At 38.5% G+C, this 17,042-nt stretch overlaps 1 protein-coding gene and 1 non-coding gene across 12 annotated transcripts in view; both read right to left on the bottom strand.

Moving 5' to 3' along the window:
• Positions 1–17,042, bottom strand: part of EXOC4 (exocyst complex component 4) — an 847,874-nt gene that overhangs the window by 805,706 nt on the left and 25,126 nt on the right. For all 11 annotated transcript variants that reach the window (XR_007060126.1, XR_007060125.1, XR_007060123.1 and 8 more), the window contains exon 3: positions 6,130–6,324. Coding sequence is in view for 3 of the 11 variants with exons in the window: in NM_021807.4 (NP_068579.3) it covers positions 6,130–6,324 (195 nt within the window). In the remaining 8 variants the exon portion in view is untranslated. The remainder of the gene's footprint in view (positions 1–6,129; positions 6,325–17,042) is intronic.
• Positions 4,258–4,365, bottom strand: MIR6133 (microRNA 6133). The gene has a single exon (NR_106749.1). It is a non-coding gene; the product is annotated as a microRNA 6133 (primary transcript).

Raw genomic sequence — 17,042 nt, 5'->3', positions numbered from 1 at the left:
GCTGGTTTTTCATTTAGGTACATCCATGTTAGGCCAAGAAGAAAAGGAATCAAAACTGCTTAATCCAACCCTACTTCAACTTTTACTAGCTCAAAAGAAGTCCACCTCAAAGGCAGTTTTTGAGATTATAACATGGAAGCAATCATCATATCATTTCCTACAATATCAGTAAAATTTATCGATTATAAATAACATTTCAAAAACTTTATACTGCATATACTTTATGTACACAGTTTAATATCTCACTTAATCCATTCGACAACCCTTGGAGATACATATTATTCTTAACTCCAGCTTTCAGCAAAGATAATTTACTAACCATAAGTCATCCAGCTACTAAGAGTCAAAGCTGGGATTCAAGCATCAGACGACCTAACCCAAATTAAGACCCATGCTGACATTCACAACCCACCATGTTATCCAATTCCAAAGGATCTTGTTAACTAAAAATACTACAAATATATTTATTTTATTACATAAGATCTTAGAAAACTATTCAATTAAATAGCTGCCCTAATTTCTTTATCCCAGATATGGCCACATTTACACAGTGTAAGTGAAATAATTTCATTACACCATTCTCTCAGCAAAGCACTCTGGGATCCTCTGGGAAGAAGGCAGATATATAAATATAAGTTGTTATTATAATTATCATAATAACCCTTATCTGACTATACAGCTATGGATTCTTTTTAAAAGGCATATAAATAAAGACAGACAAAATGATTAAGAGACATTCAAAATCTCTACAATCTCAGGAAGGCTTAGAAATGAAATTATTTTAGTCACAAGCCTTGTGACTGTCAGCTAAAGTGCTTCAAAACTATTTGCACTGGCTTGGTTTCCACTGATTGAATGCAATTATGAATTGACTTCTATGGGATGATAAATCAGAACTTGTGTAAGTGGTTTTCAAAGCTCATCTGTGCAATTTTAGTTTGATGCAGACTTCTACACACATTTTCCCTTAAAAAAAGTTTATGAAAATATTAACTATCATGAAATACCTTCCTGGTTGGCTCATGCCACTGGGAAGAAGCTGCTATTCTTATATTAATAATTCTTCCCAGAATTAATCACTCTTTGTACATTAGAACCAGCAGCTGGAGTGTTTTGAGTGATAATGAAACCTGTAACAAGGCATCTTCAGCCGTCTTTTCAAGACAATAAGGGAATTAAAATTTCAATTTAAATGCAGAGGTTTGAAACACGCTTCACTGGCAAAATTACTTCAATTAATGTGAGTGGAATACAAAGGACAGACTGCAGAAATGTGATGCTGCAACCAGAAATTATGTCATTAATGTGCTTGCATCAACCCAGCACAATGACTGCAAAGGTCTAATTTAAACCGTACATATCACAAAGCTACAGGCTACAATATTAATCAAGTCTCTGATTTCAATGTGACGGATACAGGCTTCTTGTTGGATCATTTTTAGCTTTTCATAAGCCAACAGCAGCTGTTTACCTTGAAGAAAGAAACAAAAGGCCAGACCTATTTGCAGACATTCCCTGTCATGACAATTTAATTATTTTATGCAATACTCGGTTATCATATCAAAAGAAGAAACAAATATCTCACCTAAAAGCCAAGCCTATAGCTACCAGACCAGTCTGATGGTGCAGTAGGAATAGCAGGAGCTGCCAAGAGCAATGGGTCACCATGGAGTTATTTACTCTGGATTTATTAATCTATTCTGAGTAGGGATTAAATTACTAAGCATCTGCATCTGCCTTAAAATAGAAATGCAAAATCTTCTGACAAACAAATCCAAGGAAATCAGGGGGTTTTGAAGGACTAGATTGTTTTGTCTTCACTTTCCTCTGATGTCTTTTAGCAAAGATTTCGATTTGGACCCTTGAGATGCCTTAGATTTTACTTCTAACAGTACATAACCATGGAGAAAGAAAATGTGATTGTTTTTCATGTGAAGTCCAATGAAAGAGCAATTATAGAGCTTACTACTCAATCTTATATACAAAAGACCAAGTTGAAGATATCTCCAACCTTTTAAGTGCACTTTAAATCCTACCTCCACGAAATTTTTGCATATTGGGATATACAAATCATTGTTTATTGGGATATGCCAACTCCTCAGAACATGCAAAGTTATAAAATGGTAATATCAGAAGTGGAGTTGTTGAAAGAAATAAGCTAACAAATGTAACATATTTCAAATAGTACCAGGACATAGTAAGTGCTCAATACATATTAGCTATTGTTATCATTGTCATTCATTTAATTACTACGAAAAGGGAAGGTTAGACACTAGAGAACCTTGCCATTAAGAAATAAATAAACAAATAAATAACCAGAGAAGAAAAAACAGAACAAAGCTCCCACAAAAGAAATACCTTTTTCTCTCTGTAGTGGTATTACAGTCTTCCACATAGTCACCCATTTAGCTAATGATTTGTGAACTCTGACTGTATGAGCTACACTATGCTGGGAACAGGGCAGACAAAAATAGGTAAGACACAACCACTATCCTCAATGACCTACCACACAAACAAAAGGAATTATATTAAAATGAAACATATGAGCTTATGGAAACATAAAGAAAAGCACCTAGCTATCTGAATATCTGGGACATTCAGAGAGTTGATGAAATTTGAGCCAGGTCTTAAAAAAGAAGTCATCACTTTCCAGGCAGACAGTATTGGGAATCAGTTCAGGGAAATACAAGGTCAATTAAAAAAGAAAAATACATCACATCCTTATGCACCAGCAACCAGTAACTAGAAACCTTAATAAATAAATAGCTACTGTTTTAAAAGACAACAACAAAAAAATGAAATACCCAGAAATAAATCTAACAAAATACATATGATACCTCTAAGGACTATATATATTGCTAAGCATTATCAAAGGACACAAATGAAGATTTTAATAAATGAAAGGAATATTAGGTTCACAGATAAGAACACAACATTGCAAAGATAATTCTCTTAAATTCAATCAATTAGCTATTGAAGGTTCAAGTGATTCTCCAGCCTCAGCCTCTGAGCTAGCTGGGATTACAGGCATGCACCACCACACCCATCTAATTTTGTATTTTTAGTAGAGATGGAGTTTCACCATGTTGGCCAGGATGGTGTCAATCTCCTGACCTCACGTGATCTGCCCACCTCAGCCTCCCAAAGTGCTGGGATTACAGGCGTGGGCCACCATGCCTGGCCACAAAGACAATTTTGAATAGCAAGATGAGAGAATCTCTTCACCTCCTATCAAGATGTATTATAAAGTTACAGGAGTTAAAACAGCATGGTTTGGGTGCAGGTACAAATAACACCATTAAAACAAAATAAAGAGCTCAGAAACAGATCCATGCATATGTGATAAGTTGCTGTGTGACCAAAATAGCATCATGAATCAGTAGAAAAAGGATTCAATAAACAGCCTGAGCCAACAGACTATATAGAAGAAAGATAAAATTAGATCCTCAGTTAATACCATATATAAAAATGGACTTTCGACGGGTTAAAGAAGAAAACATAGGAGATTCTCTTAGAACACTGGGATGGAAAAAAAATTTTCTTGCATCAAAAATCACATAACAGGCCGGGCAGAGTAGCTCACGGCTGTAATCCCAGCACTTTGGGAGGCCAAGGCAGGCAGATCACTTGAGGTCAGGAATTCCAGACCAGCCTGACCCAACATGGTGAAAACCCATCTCTACTAAAAATGCAAAAATTAGCCAGGTGTGGTGGCACACACCTGTAATCCCAGGTACTTGGGAGGCTGAGGCAGGAGACTCACTTGAACCTAGGAGGCAAAGGTTGTGGTGAGCTGAGATCACACCACTGCACTCCAGCCTGGAAAACAGAGTGAGCCTGTCTCAAAAAAAAAAAAAAAAAATCACATAACAAAAAATACTGAGAAATTGAGAAATTGTTTTGCATTACGATTTTTAATTTCTTTATAACAAAGACACTATAAACAAAGGAAAAAGACAAATCCCCAATTGGGAGAAGATATCTAACAGACAAGAAGAATTAATATCTAGAATATATAAACAACCAAACAGAAAACGAAACAAAACCTCCGGAAAATGTGTCTTACAAACTCACTCTTTTCTGGACATGACTGTTCTTCCTCCCTATACCACGCCCCCTGCCCCAACCAGATAGTTTTATTGATGATTATCATACCCAACCTGGCTCAATCTAGCTCCTAACCCTAGATTTCTGAATTATGAAAAAAAAAAAGATTATTTTCTTCTGTAAAGGTGGAAAGATGTAGACATAGCCTATGCCCCCTGTTTTCCCTCAATACCCAACCTCCTCCCTCACACATGAAGAGACCAGTCTTCAGCAGAACAATGAAGAGGGCATGCAGAGAAAACACACAGGTGACATTCCACATACATGCCTATTCCTTTGGCAGACTGGTTACATGAGTCAAACAATTATTTTTACTTAAGCTAGCTAGAGTTGAATTTCTGTAACTTACAACCAAGAATTTAAAGAAGTTATTTAATGAGTCTTGAGGAAAATATGTCAGAAAAAAAGGGACAGTATTCATTATTGATTAGCCCTTAAGTAAATAAATTAGCCCTTAAGAACAAAGACCGTAACACAAAAATCTGAAATCCTAATATGAACATAATTAACACAGAAATAAATTCTAACAACCTATTTTAATCTGTGGCACTTACTTAAAAGCAAGCCCACTCCAAAAAATCATGATTCAAATAGATGTATATTTGCTACACAAATGTATACTTGCTTATCTATTCTGATTGCTGAATCTTGAGAATATAGGACAAGTATGCATTCATAATGCATAAATCAACACTAAAGGTGAAAAGTAATTTTTTTCTATCAGACACCCTATAGTCATTATTATTAAAGAAGCTGCCACTTTGAATAAGATGCTGAAAATAACCAATTCTTTTGTCATTCCCAAGAGTCAATCTTTTTTTGTTGTTTATTGGGGTTCTTTTTGAGACAGAGTCTTGCTCTATCGCCCAGGCTGGAGTACAGTGACCTGATCATGACTCACTGCAGCCTTAAACTCCCAGCCAAGGGCCAACCATTATTAATCTCCTTCCACTGTGGAAATTGACCATTCAGTCTTATCACATAACCAGGTTTTAATATCTGATAGAATATCATGGCACTTCTCACTCCTTGGTTACCAAATTTCCTTTAAAAAGCTTCTTATGAAGGACTTTTAGCAAAATTCTTCTTGGAAGTCTGAATGAATTAGAACCACTTAGAGCATTTAATCTGTGTCCCTACCAATTCCCCTCAGTGTTTTTTCCAGTGTTAAAGCCAATCTAATTTGGTGAAACAAAGGTAAAGGACTTTCACCTACTGTGGGGAAGGAAAAAACAACAATTCAAATACAGCCCATCTGCTGCTCAGAGCTCCTATAGAGAGCTTCCTTAACCAACTCTGAATGAGATGGAAGTGGGACTGGGTGGGTAAAAGGGAAGGGAGAAAGAGCAGCCCTCTCTAAGAGCCACAGGCCTTGGGAAAGAGGATTATTAGGGAGCAAACTCTGTATTTCTACTTTTTATTCATCTTCTTGACGCTCAGCCACATGAACCACCAATTGCATCCTTCTGGGAACTTTCAGCAATTCAAAAAGGAGCACACACAATGGACTAAGATGGAGGCTAAAGGCTAGATTGTGGAGTACTCTTGGTCAATAAAGTTGCTTCCAGTATTAGTCTCCCAAAATTTTATTTCTTATCAATTTCAAGGAAAAGAACAAAGCCCTAATGTAAAAATTCCTTCAAAAAATGTGTGGAACACTAGTCTATAAATCTTCAGAAGTTCTGTCTCATGTAGATTTCATTGTTTAAAATGGGATTCATTAACTATCTTCCTCTGAAGCTAAAAAACACCTCTCATTACCATTCTAACCTGATTTAAGTACTGGTTTCTTACTATTATATTTCTTGCCATTGTTACAAAGACAGATAATACATAAATAATAATTACCTACCATTTCAAACACTGGAATTAGAGAAATACCCAGGCTTCACCTTCAAGGGCTCATGAATCCCAAGAGGGCAGTTTGTAATGTGCTACATGCATTACAGGATTCAGAGAGAATAAAAGAGAGTGCTTTTACATCTTAACAAAAATGACCCTTAGCACAGGCTGTTCTCTTACCAACATGTCAGTGGCACTGAGATAGTGCTTGCTGGCCATGCACTGTTCCAGCTTTTGAGGCACTTGCTTGATATTCTCAATTTCATCCAACAAGTTCAGGACATGCTTATGCTCAATTCCTTCAATCCACAGTTTCCGAAGCTCATCCCGTTTGCAGTGCAGCAGCATCTTGCATGAAAGCAGGTTCTCTTTTACCTACAATAAAACAGATTCGGTCTTGGGTCAGTCCAAAGTCTTGCCAGTCTAAACCTATAATCTGGTTAGTAGTCTTCACTGGTACTACTGTATGCAGCAGTTCCTAATTCCCACTGCCACTTATTCTCCTTGGTCTGCCTCCAAAATTCTAATCCTGGTTCTGACATAGACTCACTTGGGCACATCTCCACCTCTCTCTAATTTCACTCCCATGAAATGAGAAAACTACTCCCAACCTACCTTTGAGTGAATCTAGAAAACATTACTAAAGAGAAAGCACTCTGAAAATATGAAGTACCTCATAAATATTAATATATCTAAAAGGAGAATGATCAATGTGAGAGTCCATGCTATTATACCTTCCCCAATGCTTGCAAATTTCCTATCCAGCTGATAGGTCACTTGGTCCAAGCTTCTAGCTCTAGAACTCCAGCTAAAGTTTAAAACCAAGAAACAGAGTGCTCAACCTAACTAAAATAAAAGTAACCCCAGCTTCCAAAAGAAAGTAGGCACATCCAGAGATAATCTGAAAATAAAAGGACATACCAAGGCTTTTTTGCCTTGCATTCTGAATATTAGATATTAAATAAGACAATCTCCACCACCTGTAGATCTGCATAGTATAGTGACTAGCATAGGCAAAACATGACAAAATAAAAGGGAGAGGAGAAGAATGGAGGAGGTAGCTGTGATGCATGTGATAGGAATAAGTTTTTATTTGCTCCCCTAATTGAAAATTTTCCATTTTTTCAACATGGAAAAATTTTAAAAACCATGATCTTTCAAAATTCACAGAACTACTTTCATATATTTTTGATAGTCCTCACATGTATTTTTATTTAAATTTGAGTTTAATATTTCTTTACAGTTTTGTTTCTGGCTTCTGTTTGAGGTAAAATTTACCCATGAATGCATCTCAAGTGTACCACGTGGTAAGTTTTGGCAAATGCGCCCACCTGTATAATCCAAACCTTCATCAATACATGGGACATGTCCATCAGTGCAAAGAGTCTACCGTATTTTTGGTAACTGAAAATCTGTATTGTTCTTCTACAAGACTTGGTGTGGTGATGAAAATATTCACTGACACTATGCCTCCGGTGATTACAAAACTAAATTTCAACATTCATCCAACAAGTACGGAAAATATGAGGACAAAATGCTAAGATTAAAAGATTTCTTGAGAAAGCATCTAATCCCTTCCTACGACTTCATGACAACACCTAAATCATGCTTCTATGAAAGTCTCCCATGTTAAAAAAAAGTCTTTAATAAGAAGACCTTGTAACCTCTCTTAATAAGTATAGTAGGCCAGGCGCAGTGGCTCATGCCTGTAATCCCAGCACTTTGGGAGGCCGAGGCGGGTGGATCACGAGGTCAGGAGATCGAGACCATCCTGGCTAACACGGTGAAACCCTCTCTCTACTAAACAAAACACAGAAAATTAGCTGGGCATGGTGGCGGGTGCCTATAGTCCCAGCTACTTGGGAGGCTGAAGCAGAAGAATGGCATGAACCTGGGAGGCAGAGCTTGCAGTGAGCCGAGATCGTGCCACTGCACTCCAGCCTGGGCGACAGAGCAAGACTCCGTCTCAAAAAAAAATATACATATATATATATATAATAGACTGATTATTAATTTGGGGGGTCATAGACCTCTTTGTAAATCTGATGAAGATGATTCCAATTATTTCTACTCCTTCCTGCAATCCCACCAAGGTAATACCAAAGAAATTTTTTGAAGCATAAAGAGAGAACAGAGAGGAAGAACAGCAAATAAGGGATGGTAACAAAACTGTGGAAGCTAGCAAGAAGATGGACAGTAGGCAACTAAATTAGCAGGCCAGAGAAATCTGAAAACCTTAGCCTGGAGTAGGATTTACTAACACCAAAAAGGAGGCACCAAGTATACTAATGGCAGGGGTACTGAGTTAAAAGTTTCTATAGGAGTATTCTGAGCCCCAAATCCCCATCAAGCCACACACATGGGTAATTTCCTCCCCCACAGCATTGGCCAAATTGGGAGCAACTGAATTGGACAGGATCTAGACAAGGAAATGCCAGGCATGGTTGAGAGGGAGGCATGAGACACTGCACAGAAAACAGGAGGATGAAGTCAAAGTGGGACATATTAAACAGTACGATCCAAAGCCCCCATGGACCCTCGGTCTCCGTCAATAGTTAGGCTCCAAAACACTGACAGCTTGACTTTTCACCCCAACACAAGAGACATATGGCTTCTCCCTTGGGAAAGTGAACTGGTCCAAGTGAAGACCTATACAGATAGTGACATTTGAGGTTTCACTGAAGAAACTGCTGAGTCCCTACCCAATCATTATGGACAAGCTCCATAACATGTTCTGAGCTTCCAATCAGGTTTGTAGTGCCTGCCTCTTACACACAAATGGTTAGCCAAGGATCATCAGACATGCACAGAAAGCCTGCAGAATGGAATGGCAGGCATCAAAACAGAGAAAATTACTGAAGCAGGACACGGGGGAACAGAAACTATGCAGGAAACAGAATTTTGTTAAACTATAATTAACATCCTTAGGAAAAATAACAGAAGCTATTACATCAATTAACCAAGGACAGGACGATATAAACATTTTCAAGAAATGAAAAACAACTATTAGAAATTAAAATAGAAATTTTAAAACTCCAATAGAAAGGTTAGAAGGTATCCTTGAGGAAATCTCCAAACAGGAAAACACCAAAAAATGAGATAGGAGGTAAAACAAAGCAAGAGGATTGATCCAAAAGGTCCAACACTTACCAGATAGGAGTTCCAAGGAAGGAAAAGCGAAACAAATGGAGTAGAGAAAAATAGTTAAAAAATAATTAAATAATTTTTTTAAAAAACTGCCTGCTCAGTGCAGTGTCTTACTATAATCCTAGTACTTTGGGAGGCCAAGGTGGAGGGCTGCTGGAGCTCAGGAGTTCAAGACCAACCTTGGCAACACAGGGAGACACTGTCTCCACCATAAATTAAAAAATCAGCCGGGTATAGTGGCACATGCCTGTAGTCCCAACTATTCAAGAGGCTGAGTCAGTAGGATTACTGGAGCCCAGGAGGTTGAGACTGCAGAGAGGCATGATAGTGCCACTGCATCCAGCCTGGACAACAAAAGCAAGACTCCAGCTCTTTTGAAAAAAAAAAACAAAAAAGAAGAAGAAAGAAAAAAAAGGCCAGAACATGCCAAAACATGAGTTTTCAGATTGAAAAGGCACACCAAGTGCTCAAGAAAATGGAAGTCAAAAAGACCCAAGCCAAGACACACTATTCTGACATGTAAGAACACAAGGGATAAAGAGACAATCATAAAAGCTGTCAAAGAAAAAAAGGAAAAAACAGGACCTATACAAAGCCTTGTGAATCAGAATGACATCGGATTTCTCTCAGCAGCAACATTAAAAGCTAGAAGACAAAGGAATGATATACCTTCAAAATTTTAAGAGATAAGTATTTCCCAGAAGAACTATCAATCAAGTATGAGGAAAGAATAAAGATATTTTCAGGTTTGCAAGCTCTCAAAAACTCAATTTTATATGCACCATATCTCAGCAAACTACTGAAGAATGTGTTCCACCACTACAAGAGAAAACAGAAGAGAAGAAACAAGGGATCCAGGAAATACAATACAGAAGAAAGGCAACAGGACTATCCAATCAGTAACTCCAGGAAAACAACAACGCAATGGCACAAAACATAATCACAGTATGCTGTATGGCTTAGATGTACATATTAGTGTAGTTATAAAAAGGTAAGCACTGATCATCTATTTAACCAAAACTAGAATACAACTATATAGAGAGGATGAAGGAAGAGGATGTAGTGGGATGGGGAGAGATTGGGAAGGGGGCTAAGTCCTCATCTTCCATAGTTGGAAGTTAATATATAACATTCAAAATAAAAAACACAGCACAAGCATACTATTAGAAATAGAAATACCTAAAAAAGAAAAACTAAAAGAGTAAAAGTCAGCATCTCTGAGATGTTGGAACTGGGACCGGGGTAGGATGAGGTAGGAGAGTCCAGTCTTTTATCATCATTTGTGGCTTTATTTGACTTTTAAACATATCTCTCAGGCCGGGCACGGTGGCTCACGCCTGTAATCCCAGCACCTCGGGAGGCCGAGGCAAGCAGATCACGAGGTCAGGAGATCAAGACTATCCTGGCTAACACAGTGAAACCCCATCTCTACTAAAAATACAAAAATAAAATTAGCCAGGCATGGTGGCGGGCACCTGTAGTCCCAGCTACTCGGGAGGCTAAGGCAGGAGAATTGCATGAATCCAGGAGGCGGAGCTTGCAGTGAGCCGAGATCGGGCCACTGCACTCCAGCCTGGGCGACAGAGCGACACTCCGTCTCACAAAAAAATAAAATAAAATAAAATAAAACATATCTCTCAAAGCCATTCCTAAATTCCACTGGAGTTCTTAGTCTCTGAGTTAAGGACTCCAGCTATTAAATCATTCCATTTTAAATCTTAGTTCAAATCTGTTAGAATCTGATTTCTGATATCCTACTTATATCACCTTGCTACTATAGTTCTCAGCTTTTTCCTCTATGTGTAACGGTTACTATGGAAACAGTTAAAAATAAATCTTATGTTATACAACACCCAACTAGGCTCCTGATCAAGAGTCAGGGACAAACTTACAGGGTGTCAGTAAAGCTTGGCAAACTCCTATCTGATTGGAAAAAGACAATTGTGTCACTTCACACTAGGATATGTGCAATGTAATCAGCTCACTTCTCACTTTTGCTTACTACATGGAAGGAAAAGCGAAATAGAATTTGTGGGGGATAAAAAATTAGCATCAGGCTGTGTAGAAAATGACCACACCAAAATTCTCTAAACCGAGGTAACAAAGCTACAGACCAAAGAAACTACAGGAACTTTTAATACTAAATTGCCCTGAGCCTTCTGCTTTATGATTAGAAAGTCACAGTCATGAAAAATGTTATTTTAGAACTTGGGGGATAGGGTCAGTCAGCCACAAAAAGGAAGAAACAATGAAGAATCTCAAAAACATTATGGCAAGCAAAAAAAACTAGACACAAAAGAGGGAATAATGTACGAAGTTCCGGAATAGGGAAAACTAATCAGTAGTGCCAGAATTCAAATCAGCAGTTGCTTGGAGCAGGATGTGAGAGAGAACTGACCGCAAAAAGGCAGGAGAGAGCTCTGGGGTGATGGTAACACATTCAGTGATATATACCTTTGCCAAAACTCATTGCACTGCACTCTGAAAATATGGCATTTTACTGTACGTAAACTATACCTCAATAAAGATGGAAAATACAGCCACTGTGGAAAATAGTATGGAGTTTCCTCAAAAAATTAAAAAATAGAACTACCATATGATCCAACAATCTCACTACAGGGTCTATATCAAAAGGAATTGAAGTCAATATGTCAAAAAGATATCTGCACTCCCATGATCACTGCAGCGTAAGTGTCCATCAACAGACGAATGGATAAAGAAAATGTGGTATAAGCACAATGGAATACCATTCAGCATTTAAAAAGAAGGAAATCTGTTTGGGCATGGTGGCTCACACCTGTAATCCCACCACTTTGGGAGCCTGAGGTGGGTAGATCACTTGAGCCCAGGGGTTTGAAACCAGCCTGGGCAACCTGGTGAAAACCCATCTCCACAAAAAAGTATCTGTGGTCCCAGATAGCAGAGAGACTGAGGTGGGAGGATCGCCTGAGCTCAGTAAGTCGAGGCTACAGTGAGCCGACTGCACCATTTACTCCAGCCTGGACAACAGAGTGCGACCCTGTCTCAAAAATAAAAGGAACTCTTGTCATTTGCAACAACACATATGAACCTGGAGGACATTATGTTAAGTGAAATCAGCCAGACACAGAAAGATGAATATTGGCATTATCTCCCTTACATGTAGAATCTAAGAAAGTCAAACTCATAGAAGCATAAAGTAGAGCAGTAGTTACCAGGGGCTCAGGGTGAGAGGACGGGTTGAGAAGATGTTGGTCAAAGGATACAATACTTCAGTTAGACAAGAGAAGTAAGTTCAAGAAACCCATTGCACAACATGGTGACTACAGTTAATAACAATGTATTGTATGCCTGAAAATTGATGAAAAGGTAGATTCTAAGTATTCTCACCACAAATAACTGATAAGCATGTGAGGTGAAGTATATGTTAATTAGCTTGGTTTAGCCATTCCACAGTGTATACATATTTCAAAACATCATGCTCTCTACTACAAACATATGTAATTTTTATTTGTCAATTTTTAAAAATTAAAAAAAAAGGTTTTTTTAATAGGAACAGGGCTATACCCATCAATGAATAACATTCAAATGTTAGAAAAGTATCAAATTACACTGAAACATTTATTTCTCAAAACTCTGTTCTACTTTTATAAATGTGATGACAGTATTTTCATTTCATTCTATTTAATTTATAAGTATAATTAAGATTGAAAAATTATGTTACTCTGTTTCTTCCTAAAACAAATGGGTGAAAAGGTTGTTCAAACCATGATATCAAGTCAGAGACAAATTTCCTTTGCTTTCTCAGAGTTTTAGTAACTTCACAGTTGCTCATAATCACCTATTCAGCAATAGCTACAATTTCACAAAATCTGCAAGTCACCCTAACTAGAGGCTATTAGAAAAAGAGAAAAGAAAGAAAACAGGGCCCAAGAGGCTACTGTGAATAGAAATGTGAGATGATACAGACGGCAGAGAAGTTGAAATTTTTGCAGCCCTCTTTTGGAAAAGATAAAGGGGTGAGAAAAGCTAAGTGGGGCTTTGAATAAAACTGCCTTAGCATTTGTGAGAGGAAGACCAGAGATCTATATAGTGAGAGGGGCTTATGGACACAGGCCTGGGGAAGACCATAACTTTTAAGTCATAAAATCAGAAAAGTACTGAATTTGTCTGGGCGTGATCGCTCTCGCCTGTAATCCCAGAACTTTGGGAGGCCAAGTTGGGCAGATTACCTGAAGTCAGGAGTTCAAGACTAGCCTGGCCAACATGGTGAAACCCCATCTCTACTAAAAAATAGAAATATTAGCCAGGTGTGGTGGTGGGTACCTATAATCCTAGCTACTTGGGAGGGTGAGGCAGGAGAATCACTTGAACCCGGGAGGCGAAGGTTGCAGTAAGCCGAGATCATATCATTGCCCTCCAGCTTGGGCAACAGAGCGAGACTCTTTCCAAAAAAAAAAAAAAAATAGAAAAGAAAAGTACTGAATTTGGATCAAGGAAAAGATAAAGAAGGGAGGAAATGCCTCTGAGCATGCATATTATCTGTAATAGAATACAACAATGTGCAAACAACTCATTGAAACTACAGACTAGAAATATCCTAAAAAGTTATCTATGAGTCAAGGATAGTAAATGAAAATTAATGTGTCGACATCATTCTTAATTTTAAAAGTATAAAATACTGAGATGTCTTCTTTGTTTTTGTTGAATTTTGTTGGCGAAAGTAAATCTACATATAAGTACTATCATAGGTTTTCTCCTGCCGTAAGAGACCAACCCAATTTTTTCCATGGAGTCTTTTTTTTTTTTCTGGACTTTTAATGATACATTTTTATTATGTATTTTATTGAATTTTCTTTTTATTTATTTATTTATTTATTTTTTATTATTACACTTTAAGTTTTAGGGTACATGTGCACATTGTGCAGGTTAGTTAGAAAGCACCTGGAAAGAACGAACCTTGGAAATACCACTCATTGTTCTGTTTAAAAGCCTTTTAGAACTACAAATCATCTTTAAATTACCTTCAAACTTGTACTGTCTGTGCTTTCTTTCCCCGGGTTTTTTCAGCTGCCACTCTAAGTTCTGAAATTCTGAGAGGCTCCCCTCAACACTTTCCAATACCTTCCTTTACACAAATACACACACACCTGAACTTAATGGAAAGATCACCTCATGGTTCCAGCAACTGCATTAATGTGCTCTAGAGTGCTGCACGCATTTAAAATTATATCTCATTATTACCCACTGTTTAGCATGTCCATTTCTAGAAACCAAAGGCCTTCTTCCCTTTCTCATACAAGCAGCATCTTATATTTGGGCTGTAAATAACTTCCTAGCAAACCATGTTGTTCTACTAGGACATTTTTTTATATTAAGGTTATTCCTCGTTCTAATTCTACCTTTCAAGGTATAATCGCATTTAAAAGCCAGAATTATTTTAGGTATCTACCAAATAATGAATGTTTCATTACTCAATGATTAAGCCCTAACAACTTCACTTGAATAATCGTGTACCCTTATTTCTCATTATAGGCAAAAAAAATGAGATTCAGAGCTTGATCTAGCACCAATAGGGTGGTCAAAATTGGGATGAAATGTTAAGTGTTTGTGTGCACATCTCAACAAAGCCAAGTATCTCCCTTCAACCTACCCTGTTCCAGTGATAAGCATTAGACTACTTTGTAACTTTAAAGAAATCTGAGGTCATCTCATTCACCTAGTACACCACAGAGAAACATACCAATTCATTTGGCCCAACTCCCCAATTTGTATCAACTCGTATCCATTTCTTTTGGTGCTGCTGCTACAATAAGCCCATCAGTTGTTATTATGAGAGACACTGGCAGAACCTATGGAACTGGAGGTTTACCAATGCAATAACATCTCATTTTGAGCAATTGTACAATGCATTCAAAAGTAATAGAACTGCCCAGTTATTTTGCTTATTGTCCACATTACTTGACCTGATCAATTGTACATGGTATCAAGGCTGAGCCTATGAGCCTTCTGTTGAGACCTCGTCTCTATAAAAAATTTTTTTAAATTAGCTAGGCATGGTTGTGAGTGCCTGTAATACCACCTACTCAAGAGGCTGAGGCAGGAGGATCCCTTGAGCCCAGGAGTTTGAGGCTGCAGTGAGCTATGATGGCACCACTGCACTCCAACCTGGACAACAGAGTGAAACCCTATCTCTAAAATAAATCAATAATTAATTTTTTTAAAAAAGCTTGGACCATCAGGGAAGAAAGTTAAATCCATCTGTCAGCTCACTTTTATCCTCAAAAACATAGAATCTACCAATATAATGTAAATCAATATATGAAAGTAATGTCAAAAAATGAGACATGTAGGCCAGGCACAGCGGCTCACGCCTATAATCCCAGCACTTTAGGAGACCAAGGCAGGAGGATCACTTGAGGCCAGGAGTTTGAGACCATCCTGGGTAACATAGGGAGACCCAGTCTCTGCAAAAAAATCAAATATTAGCCAGGCATGGTGGAATGTACCTATGGTCCCAACTACTCAGGAGGCTAAGGCAAGAGGATCACCTGAGTGTGGGAGGTCGAGGCTATGGCGATTCATGATAGTGCTACTGCACTCCAGCCCGGGTGATGGAGAGAGACCCTCTCTCAAATGGCAAGCATAAACAGTTCTGTGGTCTCAAGCTTTAAAAGGTGACAATGCACAAATATGAACATCTTCATCTGCCTTGGTCTCCAATGAAATCTATTCCCAGCACAGCAGCTAGAGTGGGCCTTTTAAGATGTTAGCCACATCATGATTCCTCAGGGATCTAGAACTAGAAATACCATTTGACCAGCCATCCCATTACTGGGTATCTACCCAAAGGATTATAAATCATGCTGCTATAAAGACACATGCACACGTATGTTTATTGCGGCACTATTCACAATAGCAAAGACTTGGAACCAACCCAAATGCCCAACAATGATAGTCTGGATTAAGAAAATGTGGCACATCTATACCAGGGAATACTATGCAGCCATAAAAAATGATGAGTTCATGTCCTTTGTAGGGACATGGATGAAGCTGGAAACCATCATTCTCAGCAAACTATCGCAAGGACAAAAAACCAAACACCACATGTTCTCACTCATAGGTGGGAATTGAACAATGAGAACACATGGACACAGGAAGGGGAACATCACACACTGGGGACTGTTGTGGGGTGGGGGGAGTGGGGAGGGATAGCATTAGGATATATACCTAATGCTAAATGACGAGTTAATGGGTGCAGCACACCAACATGGCACATGTATACATATGTAACAAACCTGCACGTTGTGCACATGTACCCTAAAACTTAAAGTATAATAATAGTAAAAAAAAGATGTTAGCCACATCATGTTATTCCTGTGCTCAAAGCATTACAATCATTTCTCCCATTATACCGATAGTTAAAATCAATGTCTTTCCAGTGACCTACAAGACCCTACGTGACTTCCCTACACCCACCCACCACACCACATGCCCTAGCTCTCTCATCTCTCTCCTGCCACTCTCCCCATGCCTCATTTTGCTTCAGCCTCATCAACCACCTTGCTGCTGCTCCAAACCTCCAATCATGCCCCTGACTTGGGATCTGGGCACCTGCTTCCTTTCTTCCTGGAATGCTCTTCCTGACACTCTTCCTAACCTCCTTCAGGTGTTGGCTCATATGGGCCCTCAGTGAAGCCCTTTCTGGCCAACCCAGCTAAAACAGCAAGTCCCTAGTCTCCCCTCCCTGGTGAGTGGGTGGGGGTGTGTGTAGCACTTCTTACCATCTGCTATACCACACTTTACTTATATATTCACTTATAGTCTGTAGTCTGTCTCCCCTGATTAGAATTTAACTCCACAAGGACAGAAATGTTTATGTTTTCTTCACTTCTACACCTGAAAATCTAGAACAATCCTCAGCACAAAGCAGACACTCGATACATAGAGACTACATAAATGTTGTT

Source organism: Homo sapiens, chromosome 7 (genome assembly GCF_000001405.40).
Source record: "Homo sapiens chromosome 7, GRCh38.p14 Primary Assembly".
NCBI lineage: Eukaryota > Metazoa > Chordata > Mammalia > Primates > Hominidae > Homo > Homo sapiens.
This window is presented reverse-complemented; position numbering and strand designations above follow the sequence as displayed.